The sequence below is a fragment of the Homo sapiens genome, chromosome 16 (genome assembly GCF_000001405.40).
Source record: "Homo sapiens chromosome 16, GRCh38.p14 Primary Assembly".
NCBI lineage: Eukaryota > Metazoa > Chordata > Mammalia > Primates > Hominidae > Homo > Homo sapiens.
Genome location: NC_000016.10, coordinates 30,222,225 through 30,248,846, shown reverse-complemented (window position 1 = coordinate 30,248,846; position 26,622 = coordinate 30,222,225). Strand labels below are relative to the sequence as shown.

Sequence of the window (26,622 nt, the reverse complement as noted above, 5' to 3'; positions counted from 1 at the left end):
GGAGAATGGCGTGAACCCGGGAGGCAGAGTTTGCAGTGAGCCGAGATCCCACCACTGCACTCCAGCTTAGGCGACAGAGCCAGACTGTGTCTCAAAAACAGGAAAGAAAACAAAAGAAAATTTGGACTATTGCCAATTACAAATATTTTTAGAGAAGAATTCAAAACAGTAACTGTGGATGATGGAAACAATAGTTATGATAAAAGTCTGATGAAACTTCCCAGTTCACAAGGAAATTTAATTACTTATGTGCAGCATTTTAAGACAGTAATCAGAATCATGACTGACAGCATCATATCAGGGCCAGCAGACTTTTATGAATTTCATACAATCTTCAGAAATAATAACTTTTTTTTTTTTTTTTTTGGATAGATTCTACCTTTGTCACCCAGGCGGGAGTGCAGTGGCATGATCTCGGCTCACTACAACCTCCGCATCCTGGGTTCAAGCAGTTCTCCTGTCTCAGCCTCCCGAGTAGCTGAGATTACAGGCATGTGCCACCAGGCATGGCTAATTTTTGTATTTTTAGTGGAGACAGGGTTTCACTCTATTAGGCTGGTCTGGAACTCCCGACCTCAGGTGATCCACGTGCCTTTGTCTCCCAAAGTGCTGGGATTACAGGCATGAGTGACGGTGCCCAGCCATTCGTGACATGTTTATACAAATATAACTTTAGCAAATATTTAGCATAACTATCAAAATTACAAATCATATTAAATTTGTATAAATGTATGCAATTTTTGGAACACGCATATCAACAACATACCCATAAATATAACTGAGATGAGATCTAATGTCACCTCACTTGACAGTGCCCTCCCATGCAGTATCGCCACATTTGACAATGCCTGCCCATTTAATCTACCAAATAAATCGAATCACTTAATACCTCTACAAGATGAGAGATACATTCTTTAGACTCCCCAAGGGATGCAGCTGAAAAAAATCCCAAAGTTAGTTTTAAGCCAAAAAGACTTGATTTAGGATTTTGACACTGGAGAAACCCATCAAAGACGTCAAGTTTGAAAACACTTGATCAAAACAGAATCACAGGTCACTATTAAAAGAGTATTAATTTAACCAGAGACTTCCAAAGCAATACAGAAACTTACATGGATATAAAAACCCTAACCCTTTTAAAGGTCAGATTTGCTAAGTGATCAAAAGGGGTACTTGAATTGAATCGACACAGGAAGAGTGTGTACAGGGTTATGAGTGTAGGCAGATGGTTACTTTGGTCATATCTCCATTTGCCACCTGATTACACATGAGAATGGCATCTTTACTCACCAGAAAGCCAGTATTATAGGAGGTGTAGGAGGCATTCTTGGACTTGAGACAAGAACATTGTTGTGTAGAAATTTCATTGACTGTGTTAAAATTATTCTCCATGGGCTGGAGAACACATAACATGGCCTTTAGAATGAGACGGGCATTGATTGGATGCAAGGTCTCCACACTTACTAGCTGTGTGACATTGGACAGAGTGCTTCATCATTCCGAGACTCAGTTTTTAAAGGAAAAACAACTACCTTGCAAGCTTGCTGGCAGGTTTAAGTGTAATAATGTGTGGGAATGACTGCACCGTGACTAACATGCAGTGACAGCTTAATTAATGTTAACCCTTATCATTATCATATAAGAATGTGAGTTACATAAGAGAGGAGTCCTGTCAGTTCGTTCTCTGCTGTGTCCCCAAGACCATGAATCATGGCTGGCATGTAGTAGGCATTTAATAATATATGTTCAACAAGTATTTGGCAGTCTTGGAGGGCAGAAAAGGAGGTGGGGAAGATTTTTAAATAACATTTTTTAAAAAGTCACATTGTCCTACAATACCGATTTTTCTTGCATATTTAGGAAATTGAGGATTTTTTTCTAAAACATGCGGACATATGGGAAATAGGATGCAACATTTGCACTAATGTTTCAGACACAGTTAGAGGTTTCCAAGAGATTTTGCGCTGGGGAGGCTGCTTGCTACAAGCTCCCAAAGCTCTGGGAGGACATAGTATTCATTCCTCCCTCAGCAGAAGCGGTGAGGCAAGAAGCTCTGGGGAGCACCCAGCCTTGGACTTTTAGCATAGTGTGTCAGGTCTTCATAGTTTGGGCCCAGGGCACAGAGAAGTCACAGCTCTCTGGCATCCTGTGACCTTTACCCTCTTTGCCAAGGGAAAATGTGGCCCACCAAAGCAAGAAACTTGAGGGCATGGGTCACCCCAGCCCTGGCATCTGCCCAGAGCCCGAGAAGGAAGGAACAATGATCCTCCAGCTACCTCACGGGGCTGGCACAGGTGACCACTGCCCTGGCATCACCCAGCTGTGTCCGGCAGCCTGAACCCCATCTGTGGGGATGCGAGGAGGAAAATACAAAAGTCCTTAGGTGAACACTGAGAAGGCAGATGTAGCAGAAACCTCCAGGCCAGAACTACCCAGTCTTGGACCTATGGTGGAGATAGAGCATAGCTGGCAATCATGTGTACTTACACTCTAAGGTCACCTGGTTGCACTGTGGCCTCATCTGTGGCTCTGAAAATGAAGATTTGGAAGGAGATCATCACAGCTAATGTTAACAAGCCCCTCCTGTGTGCCAAATCATTCACCCCTCACCACAACCGAATGAGCTAAGGATTCTCATTATATATAGTTTATGGAGAGGGAAGTGCAGACATAAAGAGGTGAATTATCTTACCCAGATCACACAGCTGATAAGTGGTGGAGGCAGAATAGAATCTAAACAGTGTGGCTCCGGAGCCCACATGCATTGATTCGACAAGTGTTTATTGAGCACCTGCCACGGACAAGGCCTTGTGTGATTAAATAGGGTTATAATTAGTAATATAAAAATGAGAAATCACTAATGCTTTTTAGACTTAACATTTTCTTTTTTTGTAGGTTTCAGGCACAGAACTGTATATCCAATAATAGTGAAATGGATCCCACTAATTATGACAGAAATGATGATACATTTAAATGACTTGGATGTTTTATAGGTATGATCTCGTGAAACCTTGAGAGAAACTGAATGACGAATGAAACTATTGTTCCTGTTTCACACAGAAGAAAACTGAGGTTAAAAGGGGTAAAGTAATTTTGCATGGCATGAAGTAGAAATTCAAAGTACAGGAATTTGAACTTGGTTCTGTCCTTTTCTGAAGCCCTTGACCACTATAGACTCAAACATCACCTTGTTTTTCCACTCATTCAACACTTTTTTTTTTAAATTATCTAATAGGTTGGCACTCATCATGAGCCCCTGTTCTCATTCTGCAAATGGTGAAGCTCTCTATTGTCCTGACCCCACAGTTCCTGTCCCATGACCAGGGCCAGCTCACCAAGGAGCTGCAGCAGCATGTAAAGTCAGTGACATGCCCATGCGAGTACCTGAGGAAGGTGAGTGAGTGCAGACAGATGGGGCCTGGTGCCCTTGAGCAGTTCCCGGGTCTCAGCTGCCACACATCTCATAGCGGGTGATGCTGGGGGAAGCTTACGCAGTCACAGTACTGGCTTCTTCCTCTTTTTCTTTCCATACAAGTGGCTTAGGGATGGGGTAGAGTAGTTGACTTATTTGGATGAAAACCACTATCTTCTGTCAGAAACTCAAAAGGAATCATTGCTGGCATGGTAACCTAAAGAAAAACAACCAGACAAGTGCCCAACGACACTTAAAAAGGTGATTTATTATCTTGCCAAGTTTAGGCTGGGCATGGTGACTCATGCCTGTAATCCCAGCATTTTGGGAGGCTGAGGCTGGTGGATCACCTGAGGCCAGGACTTCGAGACCAGCCTGACCAATATGGCAAAACCTCGTCCCTACTAAAAATACAAAAATTAGCCGGGCATGGTGGTGTGAGCCTGTAGTCCCAGCTACTCAGGAGGCTGAGACAGGAGAATTGCTTAGATTCAGGAGGTGGGGGTTTTAGTGGGCCGAGATCACGCCATTGCACTCCAGACTGTGCGACAGAGCGAGACTCTGTCAAAAAAAAAAAAAAATTATCCTGCAAAATTTGAAAAGGAAATTCAAATCAACAGCTTCTAAACTACTTTTTAACATGACTCATAATAAGAAATACATTCTATAGTACATATATATGTTCTATAACTTTGAATAAAAGAGTTAACCACATCACATTTATTTTACAACATGTAATACATATTTTTTATTCTCCTTCATTTGTTTTGAATGCTCTGTTTAGTCTACAAAAAGTCCAATAGTAATAATTAAATTAGTCATTAAGTTGAACATTATCTTGTCTTTTAAAATGATAATCTCAAAAATGATCTTTTATTTTTGAGATTTATATAGATACACACACACACACACACACACACACACACACACACACACACACACACACACACATATATTTTTTGAGACAGAGTTTCACTCTGTCCCCCAGGCTGGAGTGCAATGGCACAATCTTGGCTCACTGCAACCTCCGTCTCCCGGGTTCAAGCAATTCCTCTGCCTCAGCCTCTGAGTAGCTGGGACTACAGGTGTGTGCCACCATGCCCAGCTAATTTTTGTATTCTTAGTAGAGATGGGGTTTCACCATATTGGCCAGGCTCGTGTCAACTCCTGACCTCGTGATCTGCCCACCGCGGCCTCCCAAAGTGCTGGGACTTTAGGTGTGAGCCGCTGCACCCGGTCCAAGTAAAATTATTTTAACAATATACTATGAAGAGAAAAACACTGGCTATGAAAGAATATGCATAGTTTTACCCTGTTTAAAAATAAAGATTGAAAGAATACATATGCAAATAAGTTTACTTTTATTTTTGGTAACACTTTACTGCATTGTCTGAATATTGACAATCAGTATGCATTATGAAGCTACCTGGCTAACATTGTGTACTCACTGTGTGTGCCAGGCCCTGGGTTCAATGCTCTACATGCACTTATATTTCATTTAATTCTCTCTGCAACCTGAGATGGTATAGCCACCTCATTTTACAGAGTTGAAACTGAGGCTCAGAGACTGAAAGTTAAGCCTGAGGTTGCAGTCAATAAGAGGCAGAGCTGGAACTGAAACCTACCTGTGTCTGACCACCAGTTCGTGTTCTGACGGCAGGCTAGTCTGCATCACAGAGTGTGGAGTAGATGGTGCATGCCTGCTAGGATGGGCTAGGTATCACTGTAGGTAAGAAACAGCCCCAAACTATGGAAATGTACACCACTGAAGGCTCTTTTCCTGCCCATGCTGCACATCCTCCATGGCTCTCCTGTGCCCTGTGCCCCACATGCCCTCATCCTGCCACGAGAATAAAGGAGCAGCCTCCATATGGGAGCTGTCAGCTGCTCTAAGAGATGAAGGAGAGAGTGGCCCGTCTCAATGGCTCCCAACTCTTTTGCCTCGAGGTGACACGCTTCACTTCCACTCACATCTCCTGGGTCAAAGCAAATCCCATGGGTACATCCACTTTCAAGTGGCCCAGGAGAGAACCTGAAATACTCGGTGGACTCCATTAAGGCCGTCATATGGTGTCAGCCTGCATGGGAGACTGTGGAGGGGCAGAGGAGGAGAGTGGGGAACTGATGGGAAATGACAGGAGGACTAAGTCACCGCAGATTTGCTTTATCTTCAGCCAGGTGGAGTTTGTCCCAGAGCCGCACAAAATCATCACCAGCATGATTAAACGGAGTAGACTTCAGAAAAAGCAGTTTGGTCGGATGTAATCAGCAGTGAACTCAGAATCAATTGAGTGACATTGAGTCAGTAAATCTCTGACTGCCTCAGTTACCCCATATGATAGTTTTGAGGATGGGAACATTGAGAGAGTTGATTTGGAAGGATATCAAGAGTAAAAATTCCAACATTTTTAGTTCCTTTAAGTTAAATCCAGGCACTGTCTTTCCTGCAAGTCTCCTGTTCCTTTCAGATTGCACAGGTGAGAGTGCTCAGATTAGGGCTGGAGGTTGTAAACCATTGCTCCCACACTGACAGTGCCCCCGTGTCGTGCATGTATTCTGCGCATTTTCCTGTGCTAAACACTCTCCCAAAACATCGTGGGGCCTGATTCTTCCTCTTTGTTCCAATGGCCCTGGGTGACTCAAGTGCCCATTCAATGACCAGGACACAGAGGTCTTAGAGAGATGCTCCTTGAGGCCCCAGGTGCGAGCCTGTACCCTGCCGGAGCATGAGGCAAGGGACAGGGCATCGTCTGTGGGGATAGTGGGGGTAGTGGGGGTAGTGGTCAGCCAGATTTGGTGACTCTACTTGCTCACCAGACGATCCTACACCTGCCACCTCCGATGGATCCACTGCCTCTGTGCCTGCCTGTACTGCTGATGCTCCAGTGGATAACTCAGCATCCCAGCCTAGGCCCAATGCCACTGAAGATGGACCTTCCCCCTGGGGACCCAGGAGTCCTACCACTCAGCTGTCCCCAGGAGTGCCCAGACCCTCATTCTTATCCAGGACCTAGGAGCCCTACCCCTGGCCTTCCCTCATCAGCCGTAAATGATGATTTACTGCTGTTACCATCATCACTGCCTTCAGTGACCAAGGGCCTTCCAAGGCGCCAGCTCTGGAACGAAGGATGCCCTTGGGAGGTGATGACACTCAGGTACACGGGTGCTCAACAGATTGCTTCCTCCTATCCTCAGACGGTCTTTGCATGCATGCAGCCATTGGCACTCCCATTGTGTGGAAGGAAACCAGCCCAGGGTCACACAGCTGGTCAGCAGCAACATAGCTGTTCTCAAATCTAAGGTGCCTGACCATGCCTCCATGAGGGACCGCCTCCAAGGGAGGTTGATCCTGGCTTTGGGGAGCCTTTCCTGGGCTGCACGAATAACCTCCATTGTTCGAGACCCCAAACTCTGCTCACATCTTCCTTTCCCTATCTCTGCTTGGGCTATGATCACGGTGACTCTAGCAGCCCTTCATGGACATTATAGTACTCTCTGCCATTCACTTTTGCTCTAATCTGACTTCAACCCCCACTTACTTGGTCTCTCCTTTTACAACCACCACAACCGAAATCTAGGGCTGCTTTTTTTTTTTTTTTTTTTTGAGACAGAGTCTCATTCCATTCTGTCACCCAGGCTGGAGTGCAATGGTACAATCTCGGCTCACTGCAACCTCCGCCTCCCGGGTCCAAGGGATTGTCCTGCCTCAGCCTCCTGAGTAGCTGGGATTACAGGCGTGTGCCACCATGCCTGGCTAATTTTTGTATTTTTAGTAGAGATGGGGTTTCACCATGTTGGTCAGGCTGGTCTCCAACTCCTAACCTCGTGATCCGCCTGCCTCAGCCTCCCAAAGTGCTGGGATTACAGGCGTGAGCCACCATGCCCAGCCAAATCTAGGGCAGGAACATGGCTGCAGCATATAAAAAGAATTGAATTCCATACTTTTGTTAACCCTGTTTTTTGTTTGTTTGTAGTTGTTGCTGTTTTTGAGACAGAGTCTCGCTCTGTCGCCTAGGCTGGAGTGCAGTGGTGCAATCTCGGCTCACTGCAGACTCTGCCTCCCGGGTTCAAACTATTCTCCTGCCTCAGCCTCCCAAGTAGGTGGGACTACAGGCGCCCACCACCACACCCGGCTAATTTTTGTATTTTATTAGAGACAGGGTTTCACCATATTGGCCAGGCTGGTCTGGAACTCCTGACCTTGTGATCCGCCCACCTCGGCCTCCCAAAGTGCTGGGATTACAGGCGTGAGCCACCACACCCAGCCCCTGTTTTGTTTTTGTTTTGCTTGCTTCTTAGGGTTGTTTTTCTATTTATGGTAAAGGCATTGGCTTTCCATTTGTAGCATCAATAGAATATTTCCTGTTTACAATAACCTTATGTCATAGTAAATGGTAAAGGGATTTAAAGCAGTGGTTTTCAGCTGCCAGAGGCCTGAGAGAGTTTGGGCATACTCTGTGTGATCGGGCAGAAGGCCTGTGGGAAGTTTAGCAGAGGACAGGGCCAGGAAAGTTGATGGACAGTGGGGGTCTGTCCTGGTCACCAGGCCCCTGGGTCCTGCCCACCTGCTTGGAGCTCCCCACCCATCACACATGATGCTGCCAAGCCCTCTGGGTATTGTGGGCAAATACCTTAGGAGAGAAGCTGATGAACTTTGTTTCTTGAAATGCACAGATTCCTTGGACGTCCCTGAGAGCTCAGTCATGAAAGTCAACTTGGTTTTCTCCCCCTCATTTGGGTTCAGAATTTAAAGTCCACACACACAGGCAGTAAGATGATATAGATAAGGACGTCATCACTCGGTTTCGGATGTTAAAATGTCTAGGTGGGTTAGCGGTGATTTGAGATCACACAACCTTGTGCCACAAAGAGGAATTCCCAGGCCAGAGGGAGACATTTTATTGCCATGTTATGATCTCATCATTGAGTTGAAAGGCAATCTTGTTTCATTTTGGATTCTTTCTTATGTTTATGTCTTATAAGGGCACTTTGAATTTCCAAGCAAATAATAATTTTGAATTAGCTTTTAATCATTGACTTCTAGCACAGTTATATGATCAGAAACATGCTGTGTGATTTGATTGCTCTCAAATATATTGAGATTTGCTGGAACAAAATAAGTCAGGTTAATTTTTGTAAATGTACCAGGCATGCTTAAAATGAATGTATCTACATTTGTTCCTGAGATACAGGTTGATGGACGGATGGCTACATGGATGTGATGGAGATGGTTTACTATCGGGACCTTCCGCACCCTGCTGATGTTTTGTTGCTTAGGATATGAATGGCTGAGCGGAGGCTGTAAAACCTGGCACTCTGCTTGGGTATGAGGTTCTTCCTGCCATCCTGCCATCATTTGTTTTTTATGTTTTGTCGCCATAAGTGACCTTGAGGAACCCTGGGAGCTCAGGAAGGAAGGAGCGCCCAGAAGCAGGGACAGGGAGCTGGTTGGGGAGGACCAGAAATCAGGTTTGTGAAGGTTCCAGAGAGGACCTGTCTTTGGGAGGAGTGTGGGAGACTGAGATGGGGGAGGGGTCATTGGAATGATGCGGGCGCTACTTGGCATTGTCCATTGTGAGGCACTGTCCATTGTGAGGCACCACCGGGGTCATCAGGGATTGGTGGAGAGGGAGTATAAAGCCCCAGGGTTGGTAAGGGAGGGCCCAGACCGAAGAAGGTTTGGTGGATAGCAGAACCTTTTTGTCTCCCTCTGATTGCTCCTAAGCCTCACGCTCCCTTGCCCCGCGTGTCCTGTTGCTTCCCTGATCTTCTCCGTGACCTGTAGCTAAACCTTCCACCAGCGCTTGAGAACTTAATTTGAACCGGATCCTTTCCCAGACCCCTTTCTTCTTCTCCTCCTCCTCCTCCACCTCCTCCAGGTGCCCAACAGCCCCCTTCTCCTCCTTTCCCTTCCCTTACTTCCCCCCTTCCCCTCCCCTTCCCCTCCCCCTCCCCTCCCCCTCCCCAACTCAGATCCGGCCCCGGTCCCGTCCCCTTCCCTCCCCCCTGCCCTAAGCCACCTCCACCTCTGTCCTGGCCGCCTCAGGGCGCCCTGAAAGGACCAGGACATGCGGGTGCGGTGGATGCTCTTTTGGCTCCTCTTTGGGCTCCTACTGGAATTTATCAGCCATCAGTGCATCTCTGTGAGTAGACGCTGGACCCGTGGGGTTTCTTCCTTTTTACTGGGCTGTATCACGTGGCATGAAATTACACAGCTCAGGCCTGTAATCCCAGCACTTTAGGGGGCCGAGGTGGGCAGATCACTTGAGTCCAGGAGTTGAAGACTAGCCAGGGCATCATAGCGAAACCCCATCTCTACAAAAAATTCCAATAAAGATTAGTCGGGCCTGGTGGTGCGTACCTGTTATCCCAGTTACTGGAGAGGCTGAGGTGGGAGGATCGCTTGGGCCCAGGAGCTGGACGTTGCAGTGAGCCGAGATGGCCCCGCTGCACTCTTGTTTTTAACAAAGAAAATGGACCAAAACAAAGTGAAATGTCATTTGATTTGTGTCATCTGGTTTGATGACTTTTTTTTTTTTTTTTTTTTTTTTAGACAGAGTCTCACTCTGTCGCCCAGGCTGGAGTGCAGTGGCAAGATCTCGGCTCACTGCAACCTCCGCTTCTGGGGTTCAAGCAATTGTCCTGCCTCAGCCTCCTGAGTAGCTCAGATTACAACGCCTGGCTAATTTTTGTATTTTTAGTAGACCACCACGCCTGGCTAATTTTTTTTTTTTTTTTTTTTTTTTTTTTTTTTTTTTTTTTGAGACGGAGTCTCGCTCTGTCGCCCAGGCTGGAGTGCAGTGGCGGGACCTCGGCTCACTGCAAGCTCCGCCTCCCGGGTTCACGCCATTCTCCTGCCTCAGCCTCCCAAGTAGCTGGGACTACAGGCGCCCGCCACTACGCCCGGCTAATTTTTTGTATTTTTAGTAGAGACGGGGTTTCACCATGTTCGCCAGGATAGTCTCCATCTCTTGACCTCGTGATCTGCCTGCCTCAGCCTCCCAGTGCTGGGATTACAGGCGTGAGCCACCGCGCCTGGCCAAAATATATAACCTTAAGTGTAAGTTTACTAACTTTGGAAAGTACATACACCAGCATAAACCAACCCCCTTTCAAGATCTACATTATTTTATTTATTTATTTATTTATTTATTTATTTATTTTGAGACAGTTTCTCCCTTGTTGCCCAGGCTGGAGTGCAATGGGGCAATATCAGCTCACCGCAACCTCTGCTTCCCAGGTTCGAGCGATTCTCCTGCCTCAGCCTCCCGGGTGGCTGGGATTACAGACATGTGGCACCACTCCCAGCTAATTTTGTATTTTTAGTAGAGATAGGGTTTCTCCATGTTGGTCAGGCTGGTTTTGAACTCCCGACCTCAGGTGATCCGCCCGCCTCGGCCTCCCAAAGCGTTGGGATTACAGGCGTGAACCACCGTGCCCAGCCAAGATCTACACTATTATGTCACCCCAGAAAGTGAACTCTCAGTCTTCCCAGCCAGTCTCTTTCTTATCATAGGTTAGCTTGCTTATTCTGGAATTTCGCGTATACAGATGCATGCCATGCCATAGGTACTCTTTTGTGTCTGCTTTGTTCTGCTCAACACCATGTTTCTGAAATCATTACCATTGTTGTATGGTTCTCTAACTTCATCATTTCCATTTCAGACTCAGCATATGCTGAGTTCAACCTGTTGAAGGGCTATCTCTGTTTAATTCACCATCTTGAAAGAAACATTTAAAATTGAGATGTTTTCAAGAATATATAGTTAAATCCTGAGGAATCGACGTAGAAATGTTATCACAAGCTGTCTGAACTTACTCAGGGGAAGTCTTCGTCTTCACTCACATAAGAGTCTAATGGAATTAATATCAACAATCTTAGAGAAATCCCACACTATTCATGCCATTTTCATGATCTCCACCTTGGTAATTTTTTTTTTTTTTTTTTTTGAGACAGAGTCTCGCTCTGTCACCCAGGCTGAAGTGCAGTGGTGCGATCTCGGCTCACTGCAACCTCTGCCTCCCGGGTTCAAGTGATTCTTCTGCCTCAGCCTCCCAAGTAGCTGGAACTATAGGCACGTGCCACCATGCCCTGCTAATTTTTTGTATTTTTAGTAGAGACGGGTTTCACCGTGTTAGCTAGGATGGTCTCAATCTCCTGATCTCGTGGTCCACCCACCTCGGCTTCCCAAAGTGCTGGGATTGCAGGCGTGAGCCACCACGCCCAGCCCACCTTGTTAATTTTTAAGCACTAAAATTTGATACTTATTTGTGAATGAAGTAATCTCTTCATTGTATTTTTTTTTTTTTTTACTTATGCTGAGATTTAAATGACAAAGATTCATATAATCCAAGAGAGAAGTATTATTTAGAGGGATTCTTTTACCATGTGATATATAATAAATGCATCCAATGTTATACATCAATTTAAAAAACAAGTAAATAACTTTAAAGAAAAGATAACTACTGGCCAGGTGCAGTGGCTCACACCTGTATTCCCAGCACTTTGGGAGGCCAAGGCAGGTGGATCATGAGGTCAGGAGTTGGAGACCAGCCTGGCCAAGATGGTGAAACCCTGTTTCTACTAAAAATACAAAAATTAGCCGAGCGTGGTGGCAGGCGCCTGTAATCCCAGTTACTCAGTAGCTGAGGCAGGAGAATCGCTTGAACCCGGGAGGCGGAGGTTGCAGTGAGTTGAGATCATGCCACTGCAATCTAGCCTGGGTGACAGAGCAAAACTTTGTCTCAAAACAAAAAGAAAAGAAAAGATAAGATAATTACTTTATACTTAGCTTGTCTTACCCATGAGTGACGGGCTGCATGTGGCCCAGGACAGTTTTGAATGCAGTTCAACACAAATTTGTAAACTTTCTTAAAACATTAGGAGATTTTGGCCAGGTACAGTGGCTCATGCGTGTAATCCCAGCACTTTGGGAGGCTGAGGCGGGCAGATTACCTGAGGTCAGGAGTTCGAGACCACCCTGACCAACATGGCAAAACCCCATCTCCACAAAAAATACAAAAATTTGCTGAGTGCACTGTCAGGCACCTGTACTCCCAGCTACTCAGGAGGCTGAGGCAGGAGAATCACTTGAACCTGAGAGGCAGAGGTTGCAGTGAGCCGGGAGCACACCACTGCACTCCAGCCTGGGTGACAGAGTGAGACCCCATCTCAAAAATAACAAACAAAAACAAAAACAAAAAAATGGCTGGGCACGGTGGCTCACACCTGTAATCCCAGCACTTTGGGAGGCCGAGGCAGGCAGATCGCCTGTCAGGAGTTCAAGGCCAGACTGGCCAACATGGTGAAACCTCATCTCTACTAAAAATACAAAAATGAGTCGGGCATGGTGGCAGAGACCTGTAATCTCAGCTACTCGGGAGGCTGAGGCAGGAGAATGGCTTGAGCCCAGGAGCTGGAGGTTGCAGTGAGCCGAGATTGCACCACTGCACTCCAGCCTGGGCGACTGAGTGGAGCGGAACTCTGTCTCAAAAAAAAAAAAGAGGTTTTTTTTAGATCATCAGCTATTGTTAGTGTTAGTGTATGTTATGTGTGGCTCAAGACAACTTTGCTTCTTTTAATATAGGCAGGGAAGTCAAAAGATTGGATATCCCTGCTTTATACCAAGAAAGACAACACCCCACATTTGCAATGCCTGAAAACACTACCAGCCATCTGAAAAACATGTGACTTCTAACTTCTGTTCTTTTTTGTAGCAGTGGAATCCCACGGTGATATCTGAGGGATGTGGTTACCTTTTGGAGGAGGTTGACGGTTTCTAAGGATGATTCTTTCTGAGTGAAATATTGTCAGTGTCATTGACCTTTTCATTATTTCAACTATTATTATTCCAGGTTATCAATACTCTGGCTGACCATCATCATCGTGGGACTGACTTTGGTGGAAGTCCTTGGTTACATGTCATTATTGCGTTTCCGACAAGTTATAAAGTTGTCATTACCCTCTGGATAGTTTACCTTTGGGTGAGTATACTAACTTTCTGTAGAGGTATACTTGTAATCACAAATAAGAATAAATTATATAAAACAATTCACATTTCTGGACTTCATTATGAATATGTGGTTTTACCCAAAAAATCAGGGAAATGATTTATTAGTATAAGAATTATGAAAACATCTGCCATTTGCATTATGAAAATTAAATAGGTCGGTGTTTGTTTAATAGAATGTCAACAGAGCTTTTGGTCAAAAATAAGTTTTTTTAACCTTTGTGCTATTTATCACAAATGGAGTATGAGGTTTCGTCACTTAAATAGGAAATTCTTTCTAAACTCTTCTGCTTTATAGTTCTATCGTATGGGTGGAAGGAAAGCTTCCAATCTCCTCTCTGAAGATTCACTGCAGAAATGAGCTGACAACAGACAGCTTAACAGGAAAAGAAAAACATAGAACAGGCATAAACATGGGAACCAGCTGAAAAATGAGACTGCTAGAAGGGCCGGATGGCTGATGCTTAAAGAGCACCCTCTTCTGAGGGGAGAGGGAGATAGATGGAGATGTAGGCCATTTAGAGGGGCAGCAAATGATTTTTAGGGGAAATGAAAGAGGCCAAGGAACAAACAATTGGCCTGAGACAAAGTTCCTGTGAGGTCATAGGGACGAGGTGACAAACTGCCGGAAGGTGAAGGGCAGAACTGCACTGCGTCTCATGATGCAGAGAAAGCCCCAGAGACTCTTAGAACTGCCCTCCAAGAGAATCAATGAAAAGTGTGTCTGGGCAGGGTAATTTTGAATGACATCATTCAAAGTGCATGTTCCGACTTGGAACTGGAGAGAGATCAGTATGTCAAAAGTCTGTACTTGGTAAGAATTTGGCTGCTAAGTTGTGCCATAATTTGTCTTTTGAGCCTTTTTTCCTTTGGGTAAGTTGAGCTCTACATTTTGTCTTGCCATTCATGACAGTAAAAATGTGGTTGTCTGGGGGCTGAACCTCCTTCTGAACAATGATCCAAGATAAAAGTACTAATACCACAATGCTTTTTTATATTCAAGGGAAGAGGAAGTATGTTTCAGTTTTACCACCTAGATAATTACACGTCATTTGGCACTGCCTTTCAAGATATGTAGAAAACAGAAAATATATGAGTTATGAAGATATCTAGGCACATTTAACATTCTCTATGCCACTTAGTCCTGAACAGAGAATTTTCGGTATAAATTGGAGGAAGCTTTTTTCTTTTTTTTTTTTCTTTTCTCACCCCGAAGACGAGTCTCCTTCTGTTGCCCAGGCTGGAGTATAATGGTGTGACCTCGGCTCACTGCAACCTCCACCTCCTGGCTTCAAGTGATTCCCCTGCCTCAGCCTCTCAAGTAGCTGGGATTACAGGTGCCCACCACCATGCCCAGCTAATTTTTGTATTTTTAGTAGAGTCGGGGTTTTACCATGTTGGCCAGGCTAGTCTCAAAACCCGACCTCAAATGATCCACCCACCTCAGCCTCCCAAAGTGCTGGGATTACAAGCGTGAGCCACCACGTGAGCCAGGGGAAGTTTTTAAATTTACCACTTTTTAACAATTCCACTTAGGAAAGTTCAGTTGAGCTGTTGGACTTGGACAACTTCGCACCTCTCATCTTTGTCCTTGTCATCTAGTCATCTATACCATTACCTCCTAAGCAGGGACATCATGGGTGCCATGAAGCATTCATGCGTGATGGCATTTCTTGGCTTCTCATTTCTTCATGTGTTTGACATTTCCCCTAGCTCCAAACTGGGCCAGCTACCTTTCCTATGAAATCTAGCAGTAGCTGTGGGATTGACGTGGTTGCTCTTTTCATCTTTTTAGATTACCCATTGCTTCTCTCGAAATCCTAGTACATGATTTTTTTTTTATCCTATGTGCAGAAATCAGGAAAAAACAAATTCTACAAAGAATTTGAAAGATATTATTTCAGGCCAGGTGTGGTGGCTCATGCCTGTAATCCCAGCACTTTGGGAGGCTGAAGCAGATGGATCATTTGAGGTCAGGAGTTCAAGACCAGATGGGCCAACATGGTGAAACCCCATCTCTACTAAAAAGACAAAAATTAGCCAGGCATGGTAGCAGGCACCTGTAATCCCAGCTACTTGGGAGGCTGAGGCACAAGAATCGCTTGAATCTGGGAGGTGGAGGTTGCCGTGAGCCAAGGTAGCGCCACTGCACTTCAGCATGGTTGAGAGTGACACTCTGTCTCAAGAAAAAGTCATTTCAATGACCACCTCAGGAGATTCATAGGTATCTGACCCACATCTGAGATGGGATTTGCATTGCATTTTAGCTATGATGAGAAGAAATATTTAATATCTTAGAAGATTAAAAGCATACTGTGATAATATGGAAATCTTGGTGGGAATTCAGTCATTAGTGAGAATGTTTTGCGTTAAGTTCAAACCAGCCTCAATGAAGCTGATGTGAGGGAAGGGAAAGTGAACTCTGAGTAGAGCAGGGACAGAAGGAAGATGCTCCAGTGCAGATCAGGAAGGAGCAGGGGATGAAATGTTACAAATTCTAGAACTCAGAGAGCTGAAGGTAATTACTTCCTTTTCAAGTTGTGAAACATGTTAACCTGTGGTAAAATACTTATAAGATGATAATTACCATCTAACCGTGTTGAAGTGTACAGTTCAGTTGTGTGAAGTATATTCATGTCATTTTTTTTTTTTTTTTTTTTGAGACGGATTCTCACTCTGTCACCAGGCTGGAGTGCAGTGGTGGGATCTTGGCTCACTGCAACCTCTGCCTCCTGGGTTCAAGCAGTTCTCCTGCCTCAGCCTCCCGAGTAGCTGGGACTACAGGCGTGCATCACCATGCTCAGCTAATTTTTGTATTTTTAGTAGAGACGGGGTTTCACCATGTTGCCCAGGATGGTCTCCATCTCTTGACCTTGTGATTCACCTGCCTCGGCCTCCCAAAGTGCTGGGATTACAGGCGTGAGCTACCGCATCTGGCCTATTTTTTTTTTTTTTTTTTGAGACAAGAGTTTCAATTTTGTTGCCCAGGTTGGAGTGCAATGGCACAATCTCAGCTCACCACAAGCTTTTCCTGCTGGGTTCAAGTGATTCTCCTGCCTCAGCCTCCCGACTAGCTGGGATTACAGGCATGCACCACCATGCCTGGCTAATTTTGCATTTTTAGCAGAGACAGCGTTTCTCCATGTTGGTGAGGCTGGTCTCAAACTCCCGACCTCAGGTGATCCGCCTGCCTCGGCCTCCCAAAGTGCTGGGATTACAGGAGTGAGCCACCGTGCCAGCCTCATGTCATTCTTGTGTGTGTGTGTGTGTATGTGACAGAGTCTCATTCTGTCGCTCAGGCTGGAGTGCAGTGGTGTGATCTCGGCTCACTGCAACCTCCGCCTCCCAGCTTCAAACGGTTCTCTGCCTCAGCCTCCCGAGTAGCTTGGATTACAGGCGCCCGCTGCCATGCCCGGCTAATTTTTGTATTTTTAGTAGAGACGGGGTTTCACCATCTTGGCCAGGCTGGTCTTGAACTCCTGACCCCGTGATCCACCTGCCTCAGCCTCCCGAAGTACTGGGATTATACGCATGAGCCACCGTGCCCAGCCGTCATTCTTATATTATTATTTCCTAGGTGTCTCTCCTGAAGACTATCTTCTGGTCTCGAAATGGACATGATGGATCCACGGATGTACAGCAGAGAGCCTGGAGGTCCAACCGCCGTAGACAGGAAGGTATGGCTCTGTTGGAATCCGCATAGTGTGGAAATGAGTTTGCCCTGGAAAGGGAAAGAACAGCTTCTTGCCCTCAGGTTTCTCACCTTCTCCTCTCCTCACTCTCACCAAGGGCTGAGGTCCATTTGTATGCACACAAAGAAAAGAGTTTCTTCCTTTCGAGGAAATAAAATTGGCCTGAAAGACGTCATTACTCTACGGAGACATGTGGAAACAAAAGTTAGAGCTAAAATCCGTAAGAGGAAGGTGACAACGAAAATCAACCATCATGACAAAATCAATGGAAAGAGGAAGACCGCCAGAAAACAGTAAGATGTGCCTTGACACAAATACTGTTGTATGAACCATGTGCCAATCAAAGTAGACAACTGTAAAGTCCTTGAGAATATTTTCTACAATATTTGTGGCAAATTCAGTGGGTTCAAAATTGAGTTTGTCCTTTCTGCTTCATTAGTTTAAGCTGTATAATTCCTTTCCCTTCCTACATTCTTGTTTTCATTTTTTCGGAGGAAGAGGAGTTGCTAGTACTGGCATTGGTTTTCCTTTCTCTTTTTTTTTTTTTTTTTTTTCCTGAGATGGAGCTTTGCTGTTGTTGCCCAGGCTGTAGTGCAATGGCACAATCTCAGCTCACTGCCTTTTGGGTTCAAGCAATTCTCCTGCGTCAGCCTCCCAAGTAGCTGGGATTACAGGTGCCCACCACCACGCCCAGCTAATTTTTGTATTTTTACTAGAGATGGGGTTTCACCATGTTGTCCAGGCTGGTCTCGAACTTCTGACCTCAGGTAATCCACCTGCCTCAGCCTCCCAAAGTGCTGGGATTAGAGGCGTGAGCCACCACAGCCAGCCTTTTTTTTTTTTTTTTTTTTTTTTAATTTTGAGATAGAGTCTCGCTCTGTCGCCCAGGCTGGAGTGCTATGGTGCAATCTTGGCTCACTGCAACCTCTGCCTCCCAGTTTGAAGCAATTCTGCCTCAGCTTCCCGAGTAGCTTGGATTACAGGTGTGTGCCACCACATTTGACCAATTTTTTTTTTTTTTTTTTTTTTTGAGACAGAGTCTCACTCTGTCACCCAGGCTAGAGTGCAGTGGCATGATCTTGGCTCACTGCAACCTCCACCTCCCAGGTTCAAGCGATTCTTATCCCTCAGCCTCTTGAGTAGCTGGGACTACAGGCATATGCCACCATGCCCGGATAATTTTTGTATTTTTAGTAGAGGCGGGGTTTCACCATATTGGCCAAGCTGGTCTAGAACTCCTGACATCATGATCCGCACACCTCGGCCTCCCAATGTGCTGGGATTACAGGCGTGAGCCACCGTGCCCGGCCCAATTTTTGTATTTTTAGTAGAGACGGGTTCACCATGTTGGCCAGGCTAGTCTTGAACTCCTGACCTCAGGTGATCTGCCTACCTCAGCCTCCCAGTGTGAGCCACCGCACCCAGCCTGGATTGTTGAATTCAATGCTTGGGTCACCTCCAGATTCATTTTCACAGTCTTTCATGTTTTGGTCATATGACATTGTATTTTGCTGCCATATGACTGATCTTTTTTTGTTAAATGTGAGATACTTGTTAAAAAATGTTTAGCAATGAATTGAGGCCTAGTAGCATGTTATCTTGCTGCAGAAGAGATGGGAGTCTACTTCTGGGGGATGGTCAGGGGTCCTCCATACAGGCTGCAATTGAAGTCGTCGGTGCAGGCTCAGTCCCTACAAAGGCCAGGGTATTTCCTGTCCACCTTTATTCTGATGCATGACTCTTCTGGGTCTCAACCAGAGCCAGTGGACTTCAGTACGGGTCGCTTTCATTGGCAGACCCTCAATCCACTTGTTTTCCATCTAATCCCACGCATGTGTGCAAAAGCTGCTGTGCTTCTTTGCATCTCAGTAGTTCCTTCTGGAATTCAGCAATGAAACTCAGGGAAATGGGTTCCAAATGCGAGGCTGACTTTCGTCCTGGGTTTCCTTCTTCTCCATCTTCACCTCATGTCTGTTTACTGCCATGTTAGCAATTTGATGTATTCAATCATGGGTTTTATATTCTGTTTGGTGTCCCCCATTGTTCTCATCGGAGATCAGAAGCTTCAGATGCACTTATGTCAACTCAAGAGTAGAATGCTTCCTTAGCTTCCCTCCAGAGTCAGGTTTTGTGTTTCTAGTTCCCAAGTGCACAGCAGGAGTAGTGATGTCCTCACTGGCTTCTCATTTGCATTAAGCTGTGAGCTTCTTTAGCGTGGGGACAGGACCCTGCTCCCATTGCATTCTCAGCACCACACCACACACTCCTTGTTTGAGGCCACTCCAGACAGCATGTGCTGAAGGATGCCTTGTGGTCAGAAACAAGTTCATTAACTTTCTCTTTGAAGTGTTTTCGCCCCTGTTTCCTAGCGTTCTGGGAATTTTACACATCCTTCCTATAAAACCAAGTATCAGGTGAGATCCTTAGGATCAGGACCATGAATCAAGTGGAGTGAGGGCAACACAGCAAACTTACCCTTTTTAGGCCGTTTCCTTTTTCTGCCCTCAATCTCTGTGAACTGAACCTTGTTAAAGTCAGTCAACACCAGGGTGGATGGTTTGCCGTTGTCACCTATTTTCAGGACATAACACCCTGACTTAGGAGCCATTCCGATCATTTCTAATTCAATAGATGCGCCCAGCATTCAGATTGCCTTTTCTCTCAACCAGGATCTTTAAAGTCGATGACAAGAGTTCCAGTCCTGAATCATGGCAAAGTGCAGTAGTGAACTGCGGGGTTATTCTGGAAGGATCTCTCTATGGCTGATGGTCTCAGTTCCGGCATCAGCCTCTGACTGAGAATAAGGTCTCACACAGGAGGAGTCAGATGAGGAGCAATCCTCTGCTTCCGATGGAGTTAGTTGTGATGAATTGGTGAGGTCTGGTTTTTCACACTGAACTAAAATGAGCTTTCGCTGTGTCAAGCACAAGACTGACCCCAGAGACACACATAGTGCACCTCATAGAAGCTTTTAATAGTCTTTATATTTACTAAAGAATAGGACTAACTATGGAACTATGAAGATGAGCTGGAAATGACAGGTGACTTGCCAGCAGGCCAGAGTGTGACTTTTTTTTGTCCCTCAATGGGAGGTGTCAATTCTCCCTTCGGTTGTGAGAATCAGTTGGTTCATTTGTGGGAAGGTTGCAGGGGGGATCTTTGAATCACAGCCTTCAGATGCCAGAAGGGCAGAGGGAATCCCACACGGGCTGGTGGATCATGTGTGTGCATTTCTCTCCCTTCTAATCTGAGGAAACTAAGCGTGAAAGAATGTGAGCATGCAGAAAAGGAGAGGCAGGTATCAGAGGCAGAGGAAAATGGGAAATTGGATATGAAAGAAATACACACCTACAAGTGAGTTCAGAAACTGAACCCCACCCTCCTGGGAAACGCCCATTGGAGTGTTGTTTTTAACCTTTGTACAGTATTTAGACCCAGTAAATGCAGAAATAGAAACAAACGGTCAGAAGACATATCGTGAGAGAGAGCGAGAGAGAGTTCACAAAACAGAAAACAAAGTACCTTAATATTTACCAGTGACCAAAAGATGTGAAGTAGCAAAACGTCTCCTGACCCCATTGCCAGCTAGACTGTGTGGAAACTCGGTTCATACCAGCCATTCTAGGGGTGGGGTGAGTTGTTGTCATCCTTAGGAAAGTGTGTTGTTGTAGGATCAACCACATCCTTCAAAAGGACTATGCCTGTTTATAAGCCCAGCTGTTTCTGCCCTGTGAAACACGGTAAGGATATTAATACAAAGAGAATACAGCTTTATGATAAAAGATGCTCAATGAAGGATGAATTAGGGATGTACTGAGAATGGGGAAGGAAACTATCATCTCAGAAGTCAGCAGGCAGTAAGCAAGAGGAGGAATCAATACAGCAACAGTTTGGATCAGACTGTACAGTTTTTTTGTTTTTGTTTTTCTGAGATGGAGTCTCGCTGTGTCACCCAGGCTGGAGTGCAATGACGTGATCTTGGCTCACTGCAACCTCCGCCTCCCAGGTTCAAGTGATTCCCCTGCCTCAGCCTCCCGAGTAGCTGGGATTACAGGTGCCTGCCACCACGCCTGGCTAATTTTTTGTATTTTTAGTAGAGAAGGGGTTTCACCATATTAGCCACAATGGTCTCAATCTCCTGACCTCGTGATCCATCTGCCCCGCCCTCCCAGAGTGCTGGGATTACAGGCGTCAGCCACCGTGACCGGCTCAGACTGTACTCTTATAGCCATCTGAAATACGTTTTCTAGGTAGAGATAGATTGTGTAAGGGTACAGTTGTGAGGATAACAGAAACATGGCAGATTATTTAAAATCATCCTGAAAGTGGTGCTTTATCTGATGAAAGTGATTGTAATCCATAGGAAAATGTTTCAACGTGCGCAAGAGTTGCGGCGGCGGGCAGAGGACTACCACAAATGCAAAGTAAGGAGCTTCCTCCCTGCAGTTGCAGGATAGTTCAGTGCTGATGCAGATGATGCCACGGCCCTTAGACTCTCTCAACATTCAATTTCTCATGTGTTGGCTTTTTCAGATCCCCCCTTCTGCAAGAAAGGCTCTTTGCAACTGGGTAAGTTTGCTTGTTTTCCTTGCTTTTGGACATAGTCTGCCAGGTCAGGACATGGATACATTTTTCTCCCTACAGCTCTGTGCTCAAGCCCTGCAGAGGGAGATGGCAGAGAGAAAGGCTGCCTACAAGCATCACAGTCCCATCCCTGTTGGTAACCGTGTTGCGCAAAAACACCTTCATCCCCACCCAGTGGGGCCCCTGATCTAATATTCTAAGTGTCAGAGGTTCCGTATTTGTAATAGCAGATGGGCCCTGACTGTAAACTAGTGAAGAGTGAATGTAACTTATTACCCACAGGGACAATTCCAAATGAAGGCCTTAAATGATGCTCAGCTAAGCTGGTTCTTGTGTGGCCTCTGTACCTTCAAAAGCTGCCGAGTCCTATGATTACACGTGATGGGACTTGTACACTTGAAGTGAAACACAGTTTTAAAACTTGCTTTGTTTAGAATTCCCACCTCATTTTTCCATGGACAAAAGTATTCTTTATGTCCTAGTGCACTTACAATTTGGTATTACCTGGGAGTGAAAAGAAATATTACAGCCGTGCCTAAGTGACTTCTTGAGGTGAGATTGTTCTGTCAGAAAACCCTCTCCCAGTTCCCCTGCAGCTCTTCAGGAATCCACATCTCTCCAGAGCTCTTTGTTCTCATGGGTGGCACCTCCAGAGTGAAGAAGATCCTTTGTCAAGAAGGGAAACAGAGGGGAAATGAGAGGGTCCTGCAGGCAGAGCTGGAATCAACTTCCACTCTGCCTCTTGCAAGCTGTGTGACCCTGGGCACAATTTCTCCTTCCTCTGGAAACCTCTGTTTTCTTAGATTTGGAGCAGGGTGGTCACACTGACCTTGCAGAGTTCTGAGAGTCAGAGACAGAACATAAAAGGCCTGGAAAACATTCTCCAAAAAGAAGCTGCAACATGTGTGGACAGTGGGCTTTTCATGCCTCTCTTACTGTCTCTTACTGTCTGTTGACCTGGTGCAAGAAACATGCTCTGGTGATGGCTGTGAGGGAGGAATGAGGATAGACATAGACACTCCTGTGTCTCAAACATGCTTCTTTATTACTCTGTTATGACTCTGTCTTCCCTGGGGCAGGACCCCAGCCTGCCTACATTTGCAGACAGACACAGTGGCATGTGGAGACAACAGTGTGTCCCAATGACTTTCCTTTACCCTCCAGCTGTCGGCAGTACTCAGTGGAAGGGTGATATTATGACACTGATACTGCTATTTTGAAACCTGGAGGATGGAAAGGTGCAAAAATCTATCACCAGCAACAGAAGGTGCAGACTGTGTTGGTGGCGGTAATTTTGTCCATCAAATGAATATGTGTGAAAACATTCCCTCCTTTGGCCCTACAGGTCAGAATGGCGGCAGCGGAGCATCGTCATTCTTCAGGATTGCCCTACTGGCCCTACCTCACAGCTGAAACTTTAAAAAACAGGATGGGCCACCAGCCACCTCCTCCAACTCAACAACATTCTATAACTGATAACTCCCTGAGCCTCAAGACACCTCCCGAGTGTGTGCTCACTCCCCTTCCACCCTCAGCGGATGATAATCTCAAGACACCTCCCGAGTGTGTGCTCACTCCCCTTCCACCCTCAGCGGATGATAATCTCAAGACACCTCCTGAGTGTCTGCTCACTCCCCTTCCACCCTCAGCGGATGATAATCTCAAGACACCTCCTGAGTGTCTGCTCACTCCCCTTCCACCCTCAGCGGATGATAATCTCAAGACACCTCCCGAGTGTCTGCTCACTCCCCTTCCACCCTCAGCTCCACCCTCAGCTCCACCCTCAGCGGATGATAATCTCAAGACACGTGCCGAGTGTCTGCTCCATCCCCTTCCACCCTCAGCGGATGATAATCTCAAGACACCTTCCGAGCGTCAGCTCACTCCCCTTCCACCCTCAGCTCCACCCTCAGCAGATGATAATATCAAGACACCTGCCGAGCGTCTGCGGGGGCCGCTTCCACCCTCAGCGGATGATAATCTCAAGACACCTTCCGAGCGTCAGCTCACTCCCCTTCCACCCTCAGCTCCACCCTCAGCAGATGATAATATCAAGACACCTGCCGAGCGTCTGCGGGGGCCGCTTCCACCCTCAGCGGATGATAATCTCAAGACACCTTCCGAGCGTCAGCTCACTCCCCTTCCACCCTCAGCTCCACCCTCAGCAGATGATAATATCAAGACACCTGCCGAGCGTCTGCGGGGGCCGCTTCCACCCTCAGCGGATGATAATCTCAAGACACCTTCCGAGCGTCAGCTCACTCCCCTTCCACCCTCAGCTCCACCCTCAGCAGATGATAATATCAAGACACCTGCCGAGCGTCTGCGGGGGCCGCTTCCACCCTCAGCGGATGATAATCTCAAGACACCTTCCGAGCGTCAGCTCACTCCCCTTCCACCCTCAGCTCCACCCTCAGCAGATGATAATATCAAGACACCTGCCTTCCACCCTCAGCGGATGATAATCTCAAGACACCTTCCGAGCGTCAGCTCACTCCCCTTCCACCCTCAGCTCCACTCTCAGCAGATGATAATATCAAGATACCTGCTGAGCGTCTGCGGATTCCGCTTCCACCATCAGCCGATGATAATCTCAAGACACCTTCCGAGCGTCAGCTCACTCCCCTTCCACCCTCAGCTCCACCCTCAGCAGATGATAATATCAAGACACCTGCCGAGCGTCTGCGGGGGCCGCTTCCACCCTCAGCGGATGATAATCTCAAGACACCTTCCGAGCGTCAGCTCACTCCCCTTCCACCCTCAGCTCCACCCTCAGCAGATGATAATATCAAGACACCTGCCGAGCGTCTGCGGGGGCCGCTTCCACCCTCAGCGGATGATAATCTCAAGACACCTTCCGAGCGTCAGCTCACTCCCCTTCCACCCTCAGCTCCACCCTCAGCAGATGATAATATCAAGACACCTGCCGAGCGTCTGCGGGGAGCGTCTGCGGGGGCCGCTTCCACCCTCAGCGGATGATAATCTCAAGACACCTTCCGAGCGTCAGCTCACTCCCCTTCCACCCTCAGCTCCACCCTCAGCAGATGATAATATCAAGACACCTGCCGAGCGTCTGCGGAGGCCGCTTCCACCCTCAGCGGATGATAATCTCAAGACACCTTCCGAGCGTCAGCTCACTCCCCTTCCACCCTCAGCTCCACCCTCAGCAGATGATAATATCAAGACACCTGCCGAGCGTCTGCGGGGGCCGCTTCCACCCTCAGCGGATGATAATCTCAAGACACCTTCCGAGCGTCAGCTCACTCCCCTTCCACCCTCAGCTCCACCCTCAGCAGATGATAATATCAAGACACCTGCCGAGCGTCTGCGGGGGCCGCTTCCACCCTCAGCGGATGATAATCTCAAGACACCTTCCGAGCGTCAGCTCACTCCCCTTCCACCCTCAGCTCCACCCTCAGCAGATGATAATATCAAGACACCTGCCGAGCGTCTGCGGGGGCCGCTTCCACCCTCAGCGGATGATAATCTCAAGACACCTTCCGAGCGTCAGCTCACTCCCCTTCCACCCTCAGCTCCACCCTCAGCAGATGATAATATCAAGACACCTGCCGAGCGTCTGCGGGGGCCGCTTCCACCCTCAGCGGATGATAATCTCAAGACACCTTCTGAGCGTCAGCTCACTCCCCTTCCACCCTCAGCTCCACCCTCAGCAGATGATAATATCAAGACACCTGCCGAGCGTCTGCGGGGGCCGCTTCCACCCTCAGCCGATGATAATCTCAAGACACCTCCCTTAGCTACTCAGGAGGCTGAGGCAGAAAAACCACGCAAACCCAAGAGGCAGAGGGCGGCTGAGATGGAACCACCTCCCGAACCCAAGAGGCGGAGGGTCGGTGACGTGGAACCGTCACGCAAACCCAAGAGGCGGAGGGCCGCTGACGTGGAACCATCATCACCCAAACCCAAGAGGCGGAGGGTCGGTGATGTGGAACCGTCACGCAAACCCAAGAGGCGGAGGGCCGCTGACGTGGAACCATCATCACCCGAACCCAAGAGGCGGAGGGTCGGTGACGTGGAACCGTCACGCAAACCCAAGAGGCGGAGGGCCGCTGACGTGGAACCATCATCACCCGAACCCAAGAGGCGGAGGTTGAGCTGAGAAGAGGCCAGTGCACTCAAGCCTGAGCAATAAGAATAAAACCGAGTAGAACAAAATAAAAAATTCAAAAAACAAAACAAAACCCACACTCCAAAAACTAACAAAGAATAAATAAATAATATAAAAATAAAATAAATACTGCAGTCCTTATGTTATTGCTTTGTTTCGATATCTGGTATGATTGCCTGAGGGACCTGAGGTTTTTAATCATAGGGGTTTTTTTTTAATCTTTAGAAGTGGTTGGTTATGTAAAATATTATTATTATTTTTTTTGAGACTGGATTTTGCTGTGTCACCCAGGCTGGAGTGCAGTGGCTCGATCACAGCTCACTGCAGCCTCAACCTCCTGGGCTTCAAGCAATCCTCCTGCCTCAGCCTCCCAAGTAGCTGGGATCACAGATGTGTGCCACCACGCCTGGCCAATGTTAAAAAATCCTTTAACTTTTTTGTAGAGATGCACTCCTGGACTCAAGCGATCCTCCTACTTGTCCCGACCACCAGCCCCTTTCTGATAAACAAACATTTACACTGTTTATTATCTGATGCCATTTCTATCTTCTTCCTTGTCGTCCAGACATCGAATAATTAGGTTTCTTCAGGGTTTTCTTTTTCAAGTGCTCAGTGTTAAAGATCACTCACATTAGGGCCAGACACCATGGCTCATGCCTGTAATCCCAGCACTTTGGGAGGCCGAGGCGGGCAGAGCACTTGAGGTGGGGAGTTTGAGACCAGCCCGGCCAACTTGGTGAAACCCCACCTCTACTGAAAAAAATACAAAAATTAGCTGGGCGTGATGGTGCATGT

General features: G+C 46.8%; 1 protein-coding gene and 1 long non-coding RNA gene across 9 annotated transcripts in view; one reads left to right on the top strand and one right to left on the bottom strand.

Moving 5' to 3' along the window:
• The first annotated feature begins 367 nt into the window (after window positions 1-367).
• NPIPB13 (nuclear pore complex interacting protein family, member B13) lies at window positions 368-25,950 on the top strand. Of its 7 annotated transcripts, none has more exons than XM_047434416.1 (10): window positions 368-3,393; window positions 13,268-13,396; window positions 17,000-17,099; window positions 17,212-17,407; window positions 21,478-21,538; window positions 21,648-21,683; window positions 23,044-23,634; window positions 24,007-24,623; window positions 24,757-24,903; window positions 25,017-25,870. In XM_047434416.1, exons 1-10 carry the CDS (start codon window positions 3,274-3,276, stop codon window positions 25,816-25,818), a joined length of 2,799 nt encoding a protein of 932 aa, XP_047290372.1. In that variant the 5' UTR covers window positions 368-3,273; the 3' UTR covers window positions 25,819-25,870. The 7 variants fall into 7 exon arrangements, with proteins under 7 accessions (XP_047290372.1, NP_001308821.1, NP_001382788.1 ...); XM_047434417.1 differs by lacking the exon at window positions 368-3,393 and adding an exon at window positions 3,625-8,736 and having other exon boundaries at window positions 25,017-25,871; NM_001321892.3 differs by having other exon boundaries at window positions 368-490; window positions 2,896-2,993; window positions 3,236-3,393; window positions 23,044-25,950.
• LOC101929894 (uncharacterized) overlaps window positions 3,232-26,622 on the bottom strand; it is a 36,477-nt gene continuing 13,086 nt past the window's right edge. For both annotated transcript variants that reach the window (XR_002957884.2, XR_001752367.2), the window contains one exon: window positions 3,232-3,629. This is a non-coding gene — a long non-coding RNA (uncharacterized LOC101929894). The remainder of the gene's footprint in view (window positions 3,630-26,622) is intronic.

Bases quoted from the DNA above. Each gene is read 5' to 3' on its own strand.
- NPIPB13 (NM_001321892.3), top strand. From the start codon at position 3,274: ATGGTGAAGCTCTCTATTGTCCTGACCCCACAGTTCCTGTCCCATGAC. The intron at 17,408-21,477 runs GTAAGATGTGCC...TGTAATCCATAG, and splicing joins AGGAAGACCGCCAGAAAACA to GAAAATGTTTCAACGTGCGC. The intron at 21,539-21,647 runs GTAAGGAGCTTC...TGGCTTTTTCAG, and splicing joins AGGACTACCACAAATGCAAA to ATCCCCCCTTCTGCAAGAAA.